This window comes from Homo sapiens, chromosome 7 (genome assembly GCF_000001405.40).
Source record: "Homo sapiens chromosome 7, GRCh38.p14 Primary Assembly".
NCBI lineage: Eukaryota > Metazoa > Chordata > Mammalia > Primates > Hominidae > Homo > Homo sapiens.
The window spans coordinates 20,201,730-20,222,031 of NC_000007.14; the positions used below are offsets into that span (position 1 = coordinate 20,201,730).

The following is a 20,302-nucleotide window of genomic DNA, read 5'->3' on the forward strand; positions in this document are numbered from 1 at the left end:
GAGTTCACCTTGTCCCTTGTTTTCGACTCCTAAACTCCAAGGATTATAAATTACCCTTTTGAGGTTTTGCACTTAAGACCACCTTAGATTCCATTTTTGAGATTCTGTCTCCAAGGATGCAAAATGTGAACCTTAACCTCTGTACCAGTTGGAACCATGTCTTCCTGTAGAGGAAATGAGTTTCAAACCTCACTTACTGGTAATTATTCTTCGTGTTTTTTCAACTGGCCCCTGTATTTCCTTTCCCCAGTAAAACTGTTTTTCCCACACACTCCTAGGTGTTTAGTGTGAATAAATATTTTATTATGAATTTTATTTATCTTCATTTGTAAAAGCTATCTGGGTTCAAATGCCAGCAGAAAATGAGTCTGGTCTCAAAACCATGTCCGCACATCCAAGCCAGTGAATAGTTTCTTCGACAATCATACCAAAGTGAAAGGATAGTGTAGACAAGTGCAGTTATTTAGCAATTCATTAATGCTATCTAAAACTTCTTCCATTTGTTCACAGTCTTTTGGTTAAATCAACTTCTGTAAGTTCATTTTATGGATTGTAAAATGGGAAGTATTAGAAACAGATACAAGATTGTGTTTTCCATCAAAGCTATGACATAGAGATGGACTTAGTTTCCTTCTTTTAGAAATTTCTAGATTTCAGAATACGCCTCTTTGTATTTGGACGTAGAGCAAAGTGGTTGATACATTTCATACTTGCCTTGATAATCAATCAATGTGTTTTAGAGGAAAGAAAATGGGACCCGGAACCAAAAAACCTGATCGAGCTTCTAAAACTCTCCAATCTTCAATTTTACATCTATTAAGTAGTAATAATAATAATTGTTATTCCCTTTCCACTATGCTTTATGAGAATTAAATGATTTACTATCTGTGATGAGAACCAAAAACTTTTTGATTTTGGAAATGTGCTATATCTGTCATATCCAATCAGGTAGATAATAGCTACATTCATGCAGCTGTTGAACATACTTCATGTGGCTGTTGAACACTTGAAATCGAGCTAGTTTTACTGAGAAATTGAATCGTTAATTTTCATCAATTTAAAGGGCACATGTGGCTAATGCTTACCTTTTTGGAAAGTGTAGCTCTAGAGTACTGATTCAGTTTCAGTTATTCCTAGTCTAAATTCATTAATTCTAACTTTGTTCTGGAAATCCATAGATTGTATGTTGTCTTTGTTTAAAAATGAATGTTCTCTTTATATGTGAGCAAAGATAAGTATGTAACCTTCTTAAAAGCAATTGGTAAGATGAAACAAAGTACAATTGTATTTTTGTCCACCACTGTGCTTTTAAAAAATTTATTCATTGGGGGAAATTTTTTCTAATACCACTGATGAAATTTCCCCAGTTGGTCCCATATATCTCCTGGTCACTCTTAGATTAAAATTAAAAAAAGTCCTGGGTTATTTTAAGTTTCAAAATGCAGTATTATTTGTAAATTTTCATCAGCACCAATCTCCTAGGGCAAGACTGATCCTCCCCTCCCCACACCACATGGGTCTACAGCCTTTGGGGAAGAGGGATACAAGTGCGTATCTCCTCTTTTTCTACCTCACCTCTTCCATCGCCCAACTAACTAGCTACTGCTGCTACTGAGGGCTCCGAAGTTGGAAGCTTTGACCCTCCTTTCGAGAACCAGCAAATATTTATTGCTGCTGCTGCTGATGATGATGATGGTGTGTGCGTGCATACATGCACTTTGGAAGATCCTGAGAAGCTTTCAACGGCTAAACCTATGAAGTGAATGATGCATCCAATTTTTAAGTCAGCTAAAGCCTCCCTGAGCTCTGGTTTCCAGGCAGGCAAACACACCAAGCTTTCCTGGAATGTGCAATGAGGTGAAACAATAGCATCCTTCATCTCCTCACCTACCCCTCTGGATTGGGATAGTCCTTCAAAAATCATTCTCACAAAATCCTCTCAGTGTTCATTCCCCCTTTATTTTTTATTGCAACTTGGAAGTCAGCGAGGAGCTCAAGATTTGTGAAAATATTGCCAATTGGGATTTTTGCCAGATACCTCTTTCTGGTATCTGAAATCAATCGTCTTGGAATCCTAATTAATTTTTTCAATTTAACAACTTGTTTCTATGCAAAAATGATCATTGTGGCTCTGGTAATAATAGCTAACGGCTGGAAAATTACATAATCATAATGGAAAGAGCAGTACCTTCATAAGCAATGTGGGCTCATCACTAAAATATATTAAGTAAAAAAAAGGAAGCCAGACATGTTTCCATTTGCATTTTAAAATAGAAGTTACATGTATGTACATGCTTTTATATTATTTTGATTTTTAATTATACAGAAGAATTGCTTTAGGTTCCTCCTTATTATCTTTATAAATACTATATTTGGGTACATATTGAAGCCTGAATTTATTGCTCAATTTATTGCTCAATTCTTTTTGTTTGTTTGTTTTTTTGAGATGGAGTCTTGCTCTGTTGCACAGGCTGGAGTGTAGTGGCGTGATCTCGGCTCACTGCAAACTCCGCCTCCCGGGTTCACGCCATTCTCCTGCCTCAGCCTCCAGAGCAGCTGGGACCACAGGCGCCCACCACCACGCCCGGCTAATTTTTTGTATTTTTAGTAGAGATGGGGTTTCACCGTGTTAGCCAGGATGGTCTCGATCTCCTGACCTCATGATCCACCCGCCTTGGCCTCCCAAACTGCTGGATTATACGCATGAGCCACTGCACCCGGCCTGCTCAATTCTTTAGGATGTGATCTTCGAGTCTTTCTATTTGGCATATCTCAAACATTTTTTTTCAGCCTGAACGTCCTGAGACATTGTGTCTCAATCCGAGTCCAAGTGAAAAGCACTTCCCACATAACTGATCAACTTGTTTATAAGATCAACCTGGAAAACTGAATGAAACACCAATGATCGAAAAAGTGAGTTTATATTTTTTGGTTAGGTGAGCTGTAACAAACACACTTTTCACAGGCGACTACAGAAAAATAGGTTGAATTACAGGCATAACATAAAAATTGCATTCACACTGTAAGTTTGTAAGCTACATGAAAATAAGGAGGAATTAACCACCACATCTTAAAGATGATACTTTATACTTGATATTCTAAAAGAAGTAATACTTGTACTGCTTTTTCAGTTTATTAAAATTATCCAAAATGAAGATGACCCAGTGAGCAGAGATTGTACATTTTTTAACTAGGAAAGGATAAAGAGCCTCTCCTAGCACCCTAGTTTAAGGATCTATAATTAAATTTAGATCTATAATTAAATTTAGATACCATGGTTATCAATGAGCAAGTTTCGGTAAATTTTTAAAAGTTTGATATATGAATTCATACTTTATTGGATATTAATACAATTTTTTTTTTAGAATGGAAAAAAACATGAAGAGAAAGTCTCATAAAGTTTTACCTCTGATGGATTTTCATGATGTCAAAACAGATTAGTTTTTAGCAATGTGCCTTGATCATCAACTTTTTGCTGTAACTTCAGTTGGGAGGAAAGTAAGTCAAAAGCTATTGCATACAATTAAAGTTAGGTGCTTAATTTCATACCAAAAGAACATAGAAGTTGGAAAAAATAACTCAAAGATAACATATTAATAAATCACAGTATTACAGCAGATATTCTTAAAATATATTTTCCAGGACAAAGCAGGAGTTAGGAAAAGCCCAGATGCTAAGGGGCTTCCTTGATCCTGCTTGATCTGTGGTGTGGTCTGATTTGGTCATGATCTCAATTTCCTAAAACCACTTCATCACCTCACCTGTAATTCAATCTATTTTTTTTTTGTAGTCGCCTGTGAAAAGAAAGTTTGTTTCTTACAGCTCACCTAGTTACCAAAAAATATAAACTCATTTGAAATAATATTCTCCTTATTTTCCTGCTATTGCTTTGACCATTCTTCCCTGTTTTCTGTGGTGGCTCCTCCTGTGATATCTGTTTATTTAAACATTTCTCAAGGGTTTTTTGTTTGTTTGTTTGTTTCTTCTCACTTTCAGTAATCTCCTTGAGTCGTTCCATCCTTTTCCATGATTTGAAATCCCTATTTTTATGGGAAAGCTCAATGATGTTTGTCCCCAACCAAGACCCCTCCCCAGAGCTGCAGAACTGTAGCATTCACTTTTCTGACGTCTCCATGTGAACACTGTTTCCATGTGAACACTGACCCTACCCTCAGGCACCTCCATATATACCTCACATCAATATATCTCTTCTTCCTTATCTCTATCAACAAAAATGTCTATTTCTTTTCCTTAGTTCTGCCTTTTGGGATAGTTTCACAATCTTCTCTGTTGTTTCAGATGAAAATATTAGAGCCCTCTTGAACTCCATCGTCTTTCTCACACATTATCGTCATCTGCTTGGTAAATCCACTACCCAGGCCCCTTCTTTCTGATACCATGGTGCCTGCCTTGGGTTAGCCTTTATTATCTCCTTTCTGGGGTCCTGATCCCATCTTCACCACACTTGTCTCCCACATTATTGTCTCTTCCTTCCCTAAGTCATTCTGCCCATAGTGAGGACAGTCATCTTCCTGAATCACAGGTACAATCATGACATTCTAGTGCCTATCCCTGCCACTCTACTGAAACTGCTCTAGGCAAGACTTCCAGTGACGTTCAAAGGACACCTTTCTATTTTATTTGGCATTGCTGTGACATGTGACACTGTTAGCTCTTCCCTTCTTGAGAAGTTCTCCTTCTTTGTCCTTATTCACTCTACCTTCCATTGGGATTTTCTCCTGTTTCTCTGATCTCTCCTTTTTAGTCTCCTCTATGGCTGTTTCTTTCTCTGATTAAACATTAATGTTATTACATCAGAGAGCAGCACCCTGAGCACCCTAATCTTATGCTGCAGTTCTTAACACCCCTGGGAGAGCCATCCACAGCCAAGATTATAGCTACACTGAAGGATTGCTGACTTGCACATCTATTAATCTCTAAACCATTTGGCCTCCTGACTCCAAGACCTGTTCCATTGCTTAAGGAATTTCTCCACATGGATGGCCACAGGTATGTCAAAGTTGGCCAACGTCAACTTATCTGTTCTTCCTTCCAAACCTGTTTCTCTTGTCTTTCATGTTGAAAGGAATGAGGACATCCCCATCCACCCAGTTAGATACCTGTGTCAGAAACTGAGAGGTAATCCACAATCAGTTTTACCTCCTCCGGCCCCCCAGTCACTGTTGCCAATCCATGAACTTCTACAAAATTAGTATCTCTAAAATCTTCTGCCACGTTCCATTAGTAATTTGACTTCTTTTGTGCAGGCTTTATTATTTTCTCACCTAGATTTTTGTGATAAATCTGACCTGGTAAACTGCCTCCAATCTTTTCTATTTGCCCTTTAAATTATTTTTAGGATAATCTTTCTAAAATGCAAGTTTCATCAAATTCAATCCATTGTTAACTTTTTCTTTTCTTTTTTTTTTTAGACAGAGTCTTGCTGTGTCACCCAGGTTGGAGTGCAGTGGCGCAGTCTCGGCTCACTGCAACCTCCGCCTCCTAGGTTCAAGCGATTCTCCTATCTCAGCCTCCCAAGTAGCTGGGATTACAGGCATGTGCCACCCCATGTCTGGTTAATTTTTGTATTTTTTTTTTTTTTAGTAGAGACGGGGTTTCACCATGTTGGCCAGCCTGGTCTCAAACTCCTGACCTCAGGTGATCCTCCCACTTCTGTCTCCCAAAGTGCTGGGATTACAGGCATGAGCCACTGGGCTCAGCCTATTTTTAAATATTTTAAAAGGACTTTCCTTCTCCTCTATAATATGGTGAAACGCTTTTATATGTTAGGACCTATAATTCAAATTCTAGAAATTTATCTTTAAAATAAATCAGATATGTCCTAGGATTTTTGAACGATGTGCAACATAGCGCTATTCACCATGTTGAATTTCTAATAACAAATATTAGGGGAAAAAATAGGTATTTTCATCAATAAACGAATGTTTAAATTATGACATAAAATGAGCAAAATTTAAACTTGTATTATAGAAGAATACACAAAGATATCAAAATTATGAAACACATAGGTAAGTGAACTAAAAATATTACATAACTTTTATAAATTATCCATTCATAATATCTATCATTGGCATTAAAAGGTTAACAGGATATACACACTGATATGGTTTGGCTGTGTCCTCACCCAAATCTCATCTTGAATTGTAATCCCCATAATCCCCATGTGTCATGGGAGGGACCCTGTGGGAGGTAATTGAATCATGGGGGAAGTTTCCCCCATGCTGTTCTAATGACAGTGAGTGACTTCTCATGAGACCTGATGCTTTTATAAGTGTCTGGCATTTCCCCTGCTGGGACTCATCCTTTCTCCTGCCGCCCTGTAAAGAAGTGTCTTCCACCATGATTGTAAGCTTCCTGAGGCCTCCCCAGCATGCAGAACTGTGAGTCAATTAAACCTCTTTCTTTTATAAATTATCCAGTCTCAGGTATTTCTTCATAGAAGCGTAAACATGGACTAATGCAGTAAATTGGTACAAGAAGTGAGGTGCTGCTATATGGATACCTGAAATGTGAAAGTGACTTTGAAACTGGGTAACAGGCAGAGGTTGGAACAGTTTTGAGGGCTCAGAGGAAGACAGGAAAATGTGGGAAAGTTTGGAACGTCTTAGAGACTTGCTGAATGGCTTTGACAAAAATGCTGATAGTAATATGGACAATGAAGTTGAAGCTGAGGTGGTCTCAGATGGAAATGAGGAACTCATAGGGAACTAGAGTAAAGGTCACTCCTGGTATGTTTTAGCAAAGAGACTGGCAGCATTTTGCCACTGACCTAGAGATCTGTGGAACTTTGAACTTGAGAGAGATAATTTAGGGTATCTAGCAGAAAAAATTTCTAAGTGGCAAAGCATTCAAGAGAAAGCAACGCATAAAAGTTTGGAAAATGTGCAGTCTGATGATGTGATAAAAAAGAAAAACTCATTTTCTGGGGAGAAATTCAAGCCTGCTGCAGAAATTTGCATAAGTAACGAGGAGCCAAATGTTAATCACCAAGACAATGGGGAAAATGTCTCCGGGGCATGTCAGAGACTTCAAGGCAGCCCCTCGAATCACAGGCCCAGAGGCCTAGGAGGGAAAAACGGTTTCGTGGGCAGGGCCAAGGGCCCCACTGCTCTATGCAACTTTGGGACATGGTTCCCTGTGTCCCAGCTGCTTCACCTCCAGTCATGGCTAAAAGGGATCAAGGTACAGCTCAGGTCATTGCTCCAGAGACTGCAAGCCCCAAGCCTTGGTGGCTTACACATGGTGTTGAGCCTGCAGGTGGGCAGAGGTCAAGAATTGAGGTTGGGGTACCTCTGCCTAGATTTTAAAGGATGTATGGAAATGCCTGGATATCTAGGCAGAAGTTTGCTACAGGGATGGGGCCCTCATAGAGAACCTCTACTAGGGCAGGGAAGAAGGGAAATGTGGGATTGGAGCCCCCACACATAGTCCGCTCTGGGGCACTGCCCAGTGGAGCTGTGAGAAGAGGGCTACTGTCCTCCAGGACCAAGAATGGTAAATCTACTGACATTTTGTACCATATGCCTGGAAAAGCCACAGACAATGCCAGCCTGTGAAAGCAGCTTAGAAGTGGGCTGTACCCTGCAAAACCACAGGGCTAGAGCTGCCCAAGGCCATAGGAGCCCACCTCTTGCATCAGCGTGATGTGGATGTGAGACATAGAGTCAAATGAGATCATTCTGGAACTTTATGGGTTAATGACTGCCCTACTGGATTTCAGACTTGCATGGGGCCTAGAGCCCCTTTGTTTTGGCCAATTTCTCCCATTTGGAATGGGTGTATTTAACCAGTGCCTGTACTTCCATTGTATCTAGGGAGTAACTAACTTGTTTTTGGTTTTACAGACTCATAGGGAGAAGGCACTTGCCTTGTCTTAGATGAGACTCTGAACTTGGACTTTTGGGTTAATGCTGGAATGAGTTAAGGCTTTGGGGGGGACTATTGGAAAGGCATGATTGTGTTTTGAAATGTGAGAACATGAGATTTGGGGCAGGGGTGAAATGATACGGTTGTGGCTGTGTCCCCACCCAAATCTCATCTTGAATTGTGATCTTCCTAATCCCCATGTGCTGTGGGAGGAACCTGATGAGAGGTAATTGAATCATGGGGGCAGTTCCCCCATGCTACTCTTGTAACAGTGAGTGACTTCTCATGAGATCTGATGCTTTTATAATTGTCCGGCATTTTCCCTGCTGGCACTCATTCTCTCTCCTGCTGCCCTGTGAAGAGGTGCCTTCTGCCATAATTGTAAGTTTCCTCAGGCCTCCCCAGCAATGTGGAACAGTGGAACAGTGAGACAATTAAGCCTCTTTTCTTTATAAATTACCCAGTCTTGGGTATTTCTTCATAGCAACATGAGAACTAATGCACACACAAACCTTAAAGGTATGCATCCTTGGTAAGCATAATTGTGATTTGTAGATTTTCTATAGTGAACATGCAACACTTTTGAAATCAGCAAAAAACACATTATTTTATAAAAGTCTAAATCAAGTTGGCAGATTTTTTCAAGCAAATTTCTTTACCCAAAAAAGCATCTTAGAATATCTTCCACTGTCTCCCTCTCCCTCTCTCTCCTCACTGCACATCCACAGCCTAGGTTAGGCATCACTGTCCTATACAAACCTCTGGCATAGTTCTCACATTGTATTATACGTTTTATGTATGTATTTGTCACTTTCATCGCACTATGACCTCTTTCATCCCTATGTACCCAGTGCTAAGCAAAATACAGGTAAAATACATGCTAACTGAATAAATGAATGAATGACGCTACCTACGTCACAGTGACCTATATTGATTCCCCACTGCCTTCAGGAAATAATGTGCATGCTTCTTAGGCTGGTATTTGAAAATCCTTCAAAATTAGATGTTACCTATCCTTTCAATCTTTTTCTTTTCATATTTTGCCCCCATTTCCCCAAGTACATCTCTTAGCACTGCCATCAATGAGGAGGGATGGCATCTTTCTTGTTCACTGCTATATCCCACAATGTAGCCCCAGAACCTCTTAATGGATGGTCAGGAATTATTTGTTTAATTAATGATTAAATACATTAATTAACTTTCTCAAAAATATTCTGTAGTTGCCACTTTCCCATATTTTCTAAAGAGCTACTGCCTCCAATTTTTGCCTCATTAATTTCCTCTGTCAAGACTCCAGGGCTTAGTAAAGTTTAGTCACCTGTAAGAATCATTTCCCAATCTTCCTATGCAAAACTAAATTCTTCTCAGTACAAATATAGCACTTATTTGAGATCTGCCTCCTATTATGTGTGTATGTATGCTCTTTTGATATTATTTATATAGTGTCTAGAGTCTAAACTTTTAAAAGTTAAGGACTGTAATAATTTGATGTCTCTCTTCTCAGTTTGCTCCCATCTATCATTTCTCAGCTGTCCTAGATGGAATAGACTAACAATCTCTATTTACTAACTATTAACATAAGGATTCCTGGGAATCAGTTTCTTCATCTCTAAAAGAGGTATAATAGCATTATCTGCTCCTCCTCAAAATTAATTAAATAATATAATATAATTAATGTGTTTGGCATATAGTAAGTACTCAGTTGGTACTAATAGTTACTATCAATATTATCATTATCATTATTGTGATTAATATGATTAATACTAAAGTAAGTGCCTGTTAAATGGAAAAGTCATATGAATAATACTAAAGTTAATACCTGTGGAAAAGTCAGTCAATCTCTAACGCCATAGGTTGAGAAACGGAGAGGTTGATTTCAGATCAAATTTTGCACCATATTTTAGAAATGGGAGTGTTCCAAACATATCTGAGTCTCCCAGATGCCACAAGCTTCTGGCTTTCAGTGACATCTGGAAAGGTTATTTGATTAGAACATTTGAGATAAACAAGTATGTTTAGAATAGAAACAGGAACTCCTATTTTGGCTGGGAATATAATGTGTTATAAATGTTTTGGAAAGCAATTTCTCAATATCTCATAAAGTTGAAGGTACACATGCCCACGGTTCAGCAAATCAGTTTCTGCAAATATTCACTAGAGTAATTCTTTCATTTGGACACAAATAGGAATGTACTATAATATTTTATAGTACTACTTATGATAGCAAAATGCCATACAGCCATGAAAATAAGTTGTGCTGTAAGAATAGACATGGATTAATCTTAAAAGTATAATGTAGAGAGAAAAGAGCAAGTTGCAGATGAATAATGTATACTTTATTGTTTCCACAAAATTTTCAAACATTCAAAACAATCTTATAGACTGTTGTTTATGGATATCTTCACATACACAGCAGTGGAAAGAATAAAAGCATTTAAAAAAGAAAAGAATAAAAACATACACTGCAGTGATATCGACAAAGATAGGATAGTGGTAACCTTTGAGGGTGAAAAGAGAATAGGATTAAGCAGGGTACTTTTTTATCTTTAATATTTTATTTCTTAAACTGGGAGGTGAGTACATAAGTCTTTGCAATATCTATCTTTAAATGTCTACTACATATTACATGTATTGGGGAAATATCTAAATTAGGTGTCTTCCCAGTGGAAATAGAAAACATACAAAACTCTTCTACCATTCCTGGAAATTAAACCTGATGTCTGTTCTGGCTGGAGATGAAGATGTTTCTGTTTATTCCAAGGAAGGCCCCTATAAAGAAGCCTCTTATCTCTGGGCAAGGTGGTGGCCACAGTAACCAAGAGAAAACAAAACCTGGGAGGAAAGAGTCAGCATGCCCTTCCTCTGCCTTCCCATCCCTGAGTACCTGAAGAATCTCTCTTCAGCTCTCTTCTCCTGGAAACTTGAGTGGGGCAGGAGGAAAAGCGGAGCTAGGTGTCATTTTAATGAGGAACATACTTGTCTCCTCCATTTATCTGGCCCTCCCTGATGGCACTCCAGAATTCCAATCCCACATGATTAACAACATAGTTTCCCTTTTCTGCTTGAAGGTCCATTCTCCTCTCAATTTCAAATCACCTGAGATACAAAGCTGCATTTCCCCACAAGAACCAGTTCCCTCTCCTTTCCTTCAGTGCTACTGTCCTTCTCTCAGACCACCAAGCTTAAAAACTCCAGAGGCTCAAACAGCAAAGATGGCAGCCCGCTCCTCCCTCTGGGAGTTCTGGCCCAGGGAGTTTTCAAATTTCTGTAGGCGGAAGAATACTAGCGGGAGTGGCTGGAGACCCCATTTGGTAGGTTCCACCTAGTAAAAAGAAATGAGATCAGGGACTGGCTTAAAGAAGCTGTATGGTCATGTTTTCGTAGAGCAGCTGTTCTGTGCTGGGATACCACTTCCACCTTGGTCGACTTGACATTTCCAAAGCCCACAGGCTGGAATAATTAAGATGTGGAAAATGCAAAGATGGTGGCCCACCCTTCCCTTTGGAAGCTCTCTTTTCAAAAGAAGACATACATGTGGCTACCAATCATATGAAAAAAAGCTCAACATCACTGATCATTAAAGAAATACAAATCAAAACCACAATGAGATATCATCTAACACCAGTCCGAATGGCTGTTACTAAAAAGTCAAAAAATAACAGATGCTGGTGAGGTCGTAGAGAAAAAGGAACGCTTATATGCCATTGGTGAGAGTGTAAATTAGTTCAGCCATTGTGGAAGACAGTCTGGCAATTCCTCAAAGACCTAAAGACACAAATACCATTTTATCCAGCAATCCCATTACTGGGTATATAACCAAAGGAATATGAATCATCCTATTATGAAGACATATGCACACATATGATCATTGCAGCACTATTCACAATGGCAAAGACATGGAATCTATCTAAATGCCCATAATGATGGACTGGATAAAGAAAATGTGGTACATATACACCATGGAATACTACATAGCCATAAAAAAGAACAAGATCATGTATTTTGCAGGGACATGGATGGGGCTGGAGGCTATCATAAACAGAAAACCAAATACTGCATGTTCTTATTTATGAGTGAGAGTTAAATGATGAGAACACATGGACACATAAAGGGGAACAACACACACCGAGGCCAATTGAAGGGTGGAGGGTGGGAGGAGGCAGAGGGTCAAGATAAATAACTTGGGTACTAGGCTTAATACCTGGGTGATGAAATAATCTGTACAACGAAGCCCCATGACATAAGTTTACCTATGTAACAAACCTACATATGTACCCCTGTACATAAAATAAAAGTTAAAAATAAAATAAATAAAAACTCAAGAGCAGCTTGGCTGTCACTATAATTATTATTATTCAGTTTTCTTTTTTATTGAATTACTCCTTCATCCTCTGCTTCTTTTCCATTTTAATTCCTACCACTCTTCATTTATTCATGTTCAGCTTATTGAAACCTATTTCCAAAGAGCTCTCCTGGTGTCATATTCCCTATGCTCCAATCCTCCTGCACACTATGCCCAGGAGGAACCCGCTAAAGTATGGATTTCCACAGTTGGCTCCTGGTCAGAACCATTTTGAGCCCCCTGTTATCCAGCCGCTGAAGAATAAATCCCTTTAAAGCTTCCACAACCAACCTTATTCCAGCATTATCATCCAAAATCCCCTAGAATACCCTCCATGGAATACCCAGTATCCCTCCTTTCTTTCCAGCTACACATAAAAACAGCCCATTCAATTTCACTTCCTAATTCTTGTGCTTGATATTCCCCCTACTTCAGTGTTTCCCAAACTTCACTCATTCTGGTACCTCATCATGATTTTTCCACTACCAATTGCCACCTGAACTACTTTTTACTTAATATTTCCTGTAAATTCACTCTTATTTTAAGTAAGACAAATATTTGAAAGGTTAATGTCTATTAGTACCATAAATGAAAAAAGCTGATATCTATTGTAATAAATAGGCAATAACTATATATAAATGTTATTTTAAAGCAGTAATTAAATTAAACTAAGTACTTTTTGCCTACTAACATTTATTGCTTATTCTGTGAGTGTTATAAAGGAAGCTTAAACAAGTGTTTGGAGAAGTTTAAGTCATATCAAAAACAACAAAACTTATTTCTGAAGAATTGAAACTAAGTCAAAAAATATAACTTTCTCAATCTGTAATCTTAATGTTATTGTTATTGATTGATCAGTCCATATGTTTCCGAAAATCATTTAATGTGCGAAAGTTTGGAAAACACTGCTGTACGTGAGATACTTTCATGACCTTTTCCTGCCCATCTCAACTCTGCACATTTTTCCAGGCCTGCTTAAAGTTCCACCACCTCCCACAATGTCCTCTTGAAATTCAGGGCACTGTGACTGCCCCTTCCTCTGGCAGCCTGGGTACGCGTCTCTTCTGTGTTTTAGGAAGTCACTCCACTCTGCTTCTGAATGACTCATATACATCTCAAGTTTATTTATTTATTTATTTATTTATTTATTTATTTATTTGGTCTCCAGTAATTATAGTTGAAAGAAAGGTTTTTGAAGGTGTCTTTTTAATCCCCTGATACTGAGCATCACACTTTCTGTGGAGTGACTCTATGAACAGCATGAATGACTAATGAATTAGCACTTACTCTCTTTAACTATTTATGAGGTCATATCTCTGCTAGTAGATAAGGATCCCCTCAAGGGCTGTGCATGAGTTTCTTCTAGCCTCTAAACCCAGCCCAGGGGGAGTATATTGCAGGATTGCTAGAAATCTTTGTCAATTGAATGAATGACACTTCCTAGAGACACTACACCATAGACGGCACTTGACAACAACAAAAAAAGCCACCCTTTTAGAAGTATACAGTGTTCAGTGCCTCTGCAGCTTTCCTCCACCTTTGGAGAATTACAAGTTTCATTCTAATTCTATCCTGGACTTGCTGACATAGGGTTTACATTTATTAATATATGGCATATCACATGTAAAACTCTGCACAGTCATCTGAAATGCTGGTTGTTATCACCTTCACTTATCACCAAATGCCATAAGGGATGTTTAGTCTTAATAGACACCTAGGCATATGTGTGGTCTTTCAAGAAAGAATTCTCTAAAAATTCAACAGACATGTCTTCAAGTTCAAAATTAGTATAATTCCAAAATGTCTTTTGTCCTCCAAATCAGCCAATACATTTTAAGATAAGATGGTGTTTAACAAACTTTGCCTTAATAGTTTTTATTATCTCTAAAACACAAACAGATAAAAATATTCTATTTGTAAATTAGCTACAAGGAAGTTGAGAAAACTGGAATAAATAATATTTTTGCTTTAAGTTTTAAAAATGAGTCATAACTAAAGCTTTTAAGCAAATTGTAACTAATAATTATGACTTCATAATTTCTAGATTCTGTACACTACCCATGAAATCATATTAAAAATCGCTATTATGAATAAAAGATAATCATGTAATTAAGTTCAGGGGGGCATAAAAGAATCACCACTGAGGTTAAGACAACTTTAAGAATATACCTGAAATTCATCATTATCACCCAGTAATTGCTATGTAAAAACCAGACATTAACATAGATAAGTCAATATCAATCCTAAATTAGACCCACTGAATATAGACTTAAGACATTTTTAGGAAATTAGGAAGACCTTTAATAAATGGAAGGCATTGGAATTTTCACTACATGCTTTTTGATCTTAAAAATAAATTTTTTAAAATCTATCTTTATTAATTGTGGTAAAAAACTTAACATACAATTTACCATCCTAACCATTTGTAAGTGTTTACACTTACAAATTTTAAGTTCAATAGTATTAAATATATTTACATTATTGTACAGTCTCCAAGTGTTTTCATCTTGTAAACTGAAACTCTATATCCATTAAACAACTCTCATTTCTCCTTCCCCCAAGCCCCTGGCAACTACCATTCTAAGTATCATTTATGTGAGTTTGACTACTCCAGATACCTCAGGTAAGTTGAATCATCCAGTATTTGTCTTTTTGTTTCTTTGGTGTGTTTTCCAAGCTTAATTGAAACTTAATTAGGATGAAGCCAAGTTACCCTCCATCATGTATCATCTGTCTATTCAGTACAATGCACTGTGCTAATTTAATGACCCCCTTAACTTAATTACATGATTATCTTTTATTCATAATTTAATGCTATTAACCTAATGAGGTAGGTTATGCACACACACTTTACAGATGAGGAAACTGAGACTTTGCGAGGTGAAACATCTTGTCAATGGTCATAAATCTAATAAGCAGTGGGGCTGCTGATTGCAACTTTATCTATCTTCAAAGCACAGTCTTTTTAACATACCTGTATGCTTTTTGAGATATTTAAAGTTTTTAGGGGATTTCAGCCATCTACATATTTTAAGCAACTCATAGAGTGTTTTGTTTTTGCCTTTGATGGTTAATGTGACCTGGGTTCCTCCTTTTTTTTAAAATAAACTACTTTATTCTAAACCATGTCTCAAGGTATTATTCTATTCTATGTCATGAGGTTTATTCTAACACATGTCCCATAAGCCCACAGAATACCAGTTACCTTCCCTTTATTTAAGCAGGGCTTGATTTGTTAAGCAGCTGGTTTGTTACATTTTTCTGGAAATTATACAACTTCCTAGTGTGTAGCACATATCAATAGTGAAAGGAATATTATTTTTAAAAAATCAGCACTTACATTTGTGGAAGTGAGCCCAAGCTTCTTCAGTTCAGACACATGGTTTTAGTGAATAGAAGTCACTCTACCAAACCCGGGTACTCTTCAAACATGCCTTGCTCCGTATGCAGGCAGGCAACTGCACCCCTGCTTCCTGAGCCACCTGGGACTTGAAGTTCTACCACTGTGGCTCCAAAGCTGCCCAACTAGAAACCCCAAAAGGCAAGAGAACTACGATACCCACAATTCAGGCTCCTCACCCGAAACCAGAAGAGGGCGTATGGCTAGAGTTTCACCCTAAGAAGAAAGGGGAAGCAGGTGGAAAAGCAATTAAAAAAAAATCAGGTGAGTATATCTAAGAACCATCTGTAAATATAATCTTATTTCCATGAAAGGAAATAAAAGTGGTTTAATGTTTGCCAGGGAGTAAGAAGGCACCCTCAGTGTTAGCAATAAGTAAAAAATATTTATGCAAGCAAATCCTCATGCAGCTGGAACTTGCCCCACCAGATTCTCTTTCGGTGATTCAGAGCTGAAGGTGCCTCACTGCCCTGTGGAACAGGTGAATAAAGCCTTCCCAGGTGAGTGACAGTGTCTAACTAGTTCCCCCTTTCCCTCTACATCAGCACTGTGATTGTCACTCAAAGACATAGACATATAGACATAATGGAGACCTTTTGGCATTTCATCTTCTAAAATGCTCTGGATTTTTAAGATAACACTTTAAAATGTGCCTTTTAAAATATAAGCAAGAATAAAGTTTTCTTGATATTTTCTTCCATTTTACTTTCCATTTCTGTGTTTTGTGTTTTCCTTCTGTGTATTTTGTTCAAAATTCAAGAAAGAGAAAATTAGGGGAAAGGGGAAAAAAGGTAAAACTTAGTGAAATGAAATGTGCAATAATTGTTTCACATTTTTTTCCAACATCAGCAACAGAGAATGTTTAAAACAAATGTGTTTCTCTATTTGTTCATACAGCATCTCTCTCTAGCCTATTATCTCCTGTTAGACACAGCCCAGAAAATGAATAGAGACAAGTCCTGGCTGGGTCTGGGTTCAGAAACATAATAGAAGGATTCATCTAATGTAAGTAGATGGCAGAATGGTGACAAAGAAAAAGTTTCCTTTCCCTTTTCTGCACTTTCTCTCCTACTGTTCTAACCACCCCTTCCTCCCTGATGCATCCCTGGCTTCATGCTGCCAGATCACCTAATCCACCCAGATTCCCTTTGAAGTTTCCCCTTGACTCATCCCACAATCCAAACTGAGCTGTTCTGTTTCTTTTTGTCACAGGTTCCTCAACTCTCTACTAGAACCTAGCTTTCCTTTATGTCATTATATTATTTCCAAAACAAATGGTTCTTAATTTCCCCAAACCCTACAGAGGGCATTCTGCATGGCATTTCTCCTCCCTGAAACCATTTTTGCTCATCTTGAAATGTTCAGAGATTTCATTTTTTCCAAAGCTCAATGAAAAACACTCTTCAAGATGTCCTTCTCAGTTTGTCTTAATCTGAGTTATTCTCTTCCTCCTAATCAATTTCATAATATTGCATCTGCTCCTCTCATAACACATTGTATATCTCATTTCATTGGTTTACATGGGTGTGTGTGTACCTATGCAGTCTTACATTCCTATTTGAAGGCAAGGCCTCATTGTATCCCTACTTCATTAACTCATTAATGTACAAGTAGATGTTTGTGATAAACAATCAACACATAAAATAACTGAGATGTTAACTCTAAGGTGTGTGTGTGTTAATGCCTAATGCCATCTTTATGTCTCCCGGAAAACATTTACATTTAAAAAGCTACCTAAATGCCATGCATGAGTACTGTTATCAGAATCCCCCTGCAGTCTGGTCTGGTGTGGCTCCCACAGCCTTTATTTGCAGAAAGGCAAAGCATTAAATCTAGCAATTGAACCCTTGACAGTACCCGAAATGAAAGCCCTAGTGGGTCAGCACTCACTGTTTACCAGCTCCAATCCCTGCTGTGCACTTGCCTTTCTAACAGCTCCCCAAGGACTGGGCTCCCTAGAGTCCTCAGTCCCATGGTCCTGGAAACCTGGCCCTACCTCTATCTATGATTTTTGATTATCAGCTCCAGCATTTATGGATCCCTTCTCCTATTATCTAATCTACGGGCTCTAAAGATTAAACTGTGCACTTTGGACTATTTAAATAGTTCTTAACCACTGATCTCCTCCCTCAGGGAAGGGAATTCTTTCCACAGTTGCTAGTTCCTCACACCTCTGCCTCTATGGGATTCTCCTGGTCCCCACATGCTCTGCTGTGTCTTCTAGCTGTCGGCCACTGTGGAGGAAGTGAACCTTCTAGATCCTGCTGACTCATACAATGAGTTTTGTGTGGACCATCAGACAAAAGGGCTGGCTGGTGAAGGTGGCTGTTGTCTGGAAATTCCTCCCAGCTCTCCTCTAATTATGTCATAAGGACTGGAGGCCCCTTAGCCTGCTTGTGTGAGTATCACCAGCTATGTAAAGTTGGGGCCTTAGCTCATCCTCAGCACATGGCTCAGGATCACTTCCTTAAGAAAGTCTCTTCTGACCTCCTTACCCCTACCATGTTTCTTGTACTGACTTACGCAATGGTCACAACCAACATAGAAGCTGAAATCCCAATGACTCACTGTCCCAGCTGCGCTTGTAGATAAGGGAGAGGCAAAGCACTTAGAATGGCAATCAGACATGGCTATCTGGGACCAGGAATTAGGAACTGCTGACACAAAGAAGCAGGGACAGAAGAGAACTCACTCTTGTGGTGAGCAGAGGCAGCTGTGCAAACAACCTGCTGTTCCGGATGTGACTGTGGTGGCCGTGGGGTGCAGAGTCCAGGGCTCATGGCGTTGGTCATGCAAATTGTGGTTCCTGGGCCTTAGCAGAAACAAGGAACCTATTCAGTGGCATTGCTTTGGGGGCTGCTCTGGCTTCGTAAGCTGTGTGCCTGATTCTTAAGCCCCTCCCAGCAATTCTGGGACTGAAGTTTGGTGTGTTGCTCTTCGGTTTAGATCTGCCACAGTCATTTGCTGTTGCTTGAAGCTAAAAACTCTGAGTGATACGAACCTCTCACACAACTCTTACCACGTTGTCACTACCTACCCCAGTATATTTAGATTCCATCAGATCAAGTACTGGATTTTATTTATCTCTAAATATCCTAAATCTCCACAGTGCCTGGAGTACATGTATATATATTTGACCTACATTAAACTGGTCAATAAAATGAGGAAGTCTTGCTTAAAGTTCCTTCTAACTTAAAATTTGCCTGACCACATGGAAGCTGTCAGGTTGCTCATTAATGCAGAGGTAATTTTTTTCTCTTAACTAGGGTTAGAATTTAGACTCTACCCCTTCTCTGTATCTCAGAGGGAGCAGAACTAGTGGTTTCCTACACTGGAGAGGGAACTCAAGCACACAAGCTATTGCTTATTGTTATTTAATAATCAAAAGGATTTTTGTTTCCTTTTTTCTTTTTTTTTTTTGTATCCTTCAGTGACCTATGTCGTATGTTAAAGTCACTCATGTTTGGCCCCTGTAGTACAAATATACCAGAAAGAGTGATAGGAAACAGCATATTCCCCCCTTGTTCAGATTTTTCTTAGTATGACATTATCTTGGAAAGAGAAAGGCCACATTTGCAAGTTTGGAAGAAAGTTCCCCCTGGAGTTTTTTCTCTGTCCTATTTCAGTATGTATTGACTCTCAGAACCCGGGCTGCTATGACATCCGTTTTCTGGGTCACTTTGTCCCTGAGTCATTATCATCCTGTAACTTTCTGAAAACATTTGACTATGCCATTTACCAGTTAATTTCAGTGAATAGCTGAAATCATAGTAAAATGTTAGGGCCAGAGTAAATTTAGGTCAGATTGATTTTATTGCCCCAGATTAAGAAAGTGAGCCAAGTTGTTGTTAACAATTTCATAGTTTCCTTCATCACATCTTTTCGGAGCCTTACTCAACCATAAGATGAATCATCCATAAAATGACCCCCACAAAGCTGTGGTTTACATGTTCATCACTCTTTTCTGTCATTTGTTGCTTTCAGGATAACACGCAAGGAAATATGGGCCAACTCTTCACATGAACACAAGATATTTCCATGCTAGCCTTTTGCAAGTAACAACAGAGAGAGCTCTGTGCAGTTTTCACTGGAATGCCTGTGGATTGCTTGTGTCATAACTGTAATCTAAAGAGTTGTCCATTTGTTGATTCCTTTGTATTTGTATTGGTAGAATTGCCACTATCAAACCAAGATCTTTAGCTGCCTTTGTATCAACTTCTTTGGAGCTTATGTGATTTTCCAGAAAATTTCCAAGGCATAGTTTTGTCCCTAAGTCCCATGAATATGTAATATTTTGTGTCTCTCTATTAAAATAGCACTTTTTGTGCATTCCATTAACAAATATATGTGTATGTGTCTGTGTGTGGACAAACATATCAATTACTTCACCCACTTTAGTGGGAAAAATAATTTACTCTGAGTTTCTGGAATACCAGATAGTGAGTAAGTTCTTTGAGAATGGAATATCGATGTTTAATTATATTCTATAAACCCAAGACAAGGGGGTGGCAGATATTCCTAATTCATTTTCCAATATGTTTAGATAATAGGCTTCATTATATATATATGTAAATATCTTGCACATTTTTAAATTTTGCACAAGAAAATGCAAAACTTTTAAAAAATATTAACATCTATTCACCTACTGTTACGTTCTGTGGACATCATTAGTG

The 20,302-nt window shown here is 38.4% G+C and overlaps 1 protein-coding gene and 1 long non-coding RNA gene across 4 annotated transcripts in view, besides 5 other annotated features; one reads left to right on the forward strand and one right to left on the reverse strand.

Moving 5' to 3' along the window:
- MACC1 (MET transcriptional regulator MACC1) overlaps positions 1–15,655 on the reverse strand; it is an 82,730-nt gene extending 67,075 nt beyond the window's left edge. The window contains exon 1 of the mRNA NM_182762.4: positions 15,570–15,655. The gene's annotated coding sequence lies outside the window, so the exon portion shown is untranslated. The remainder of the gene's footprint in view (positions 1–15,569) is intronic.
- Positions 15,480–16,679: an enhancer, noted in NCBI's record as "P300/CBP strongly-dependent group 1 enhancer chr7:20256832-20258031 (GRCh37/hg19 assembly coordinates)". NCBI's record gives its function as "activates an origin of replication core promoter dependent on BRD2, BRD4, P300/CBP, MED14 and CDK7 cofactors, with strong dependence on P300/CBP, by STARR-seq in HCT116 cells {active_cell/tissue: HCT116}" and the evidence as "EXISTENCE:reporter gene assay evidence [ECO:0000049][PMID:35650434]".
- On the forward strand, positions 15,848–19,971 carry GIRGL (glutamine insufficiency regulator of glutaminase lncRNA). Of its 3 annotated transcripts, none has more exons than NR_134567.1 (5): positions 15,848–15,893; positions 16,059–16,129; positions 16,527–16,634; positions 17,763–18,027; positions 19,614–19,971. It is a non-coding gene; the product is annotated as a glutamine insufficiency regulator of glutaminase lncRNA (long non-coding RNA). The 3 variants fall into 3 exon arrangements; NR_134568.1 differs by having other exon boundaries at positions 17,854–18,027; NR_134569.1 differs by lacking the exon at positions 16,059–16,129 and having other exon boundaries at positions 17,854–18,027.
- Positions 18,099–18,248: an enhancer, noted in NCBI's record as "active region_25689". NCBI's record gives its function as "activates an Ori minimal core promoter by ATAC-STARR-seq in GM12878 lymphoblastoid cells {active_cell/tissue: GM12878}" and the evidence as "EXISTENCE:reporter gene assay evidence [ECO:0000049][PMID:35858748]".
- Positions 18,099–18,694: a biological region, named in NCBI's record as "H3K27ac-H3K4me1 hESC enhancer GRCh37_chr7:20259517-20260046".
- Positions 18,165–18,694: an enhancer, noted in NCBI's record as "H3K27ac-H3K4me1 hESC enhancer chr7:20259517-20260046 (GRCh37/hg19 assembly coordinates)". NCBI's record gives its function as "activates a minimal SCP1, AML or CMV promoter by ChIP-STARR-seq in primed H9 embryonic stem cells {active_cell/tissue: H9 hESC(primed)}" and the evidence as "EXISTENCE:reporter gene assay evidence [ECO:0000049][PMID:30033119]".
- Positions 18,259–18,388: an enhancer, noted in NCBI's record as "active region_25690". NCBI's record gives its function as "activates an Ori minimal core promoter by ATAC-STARR-seq in GM12878 lymphoblastoid cells {active_cell/tissue: GM12878}" and the evidence as "EXISTENCE:reporter gene assay evidence [ECO:0000049][PMID:35858748]".
- Positions 19,972–20,302: the final 331 nt, after the last annotated feature.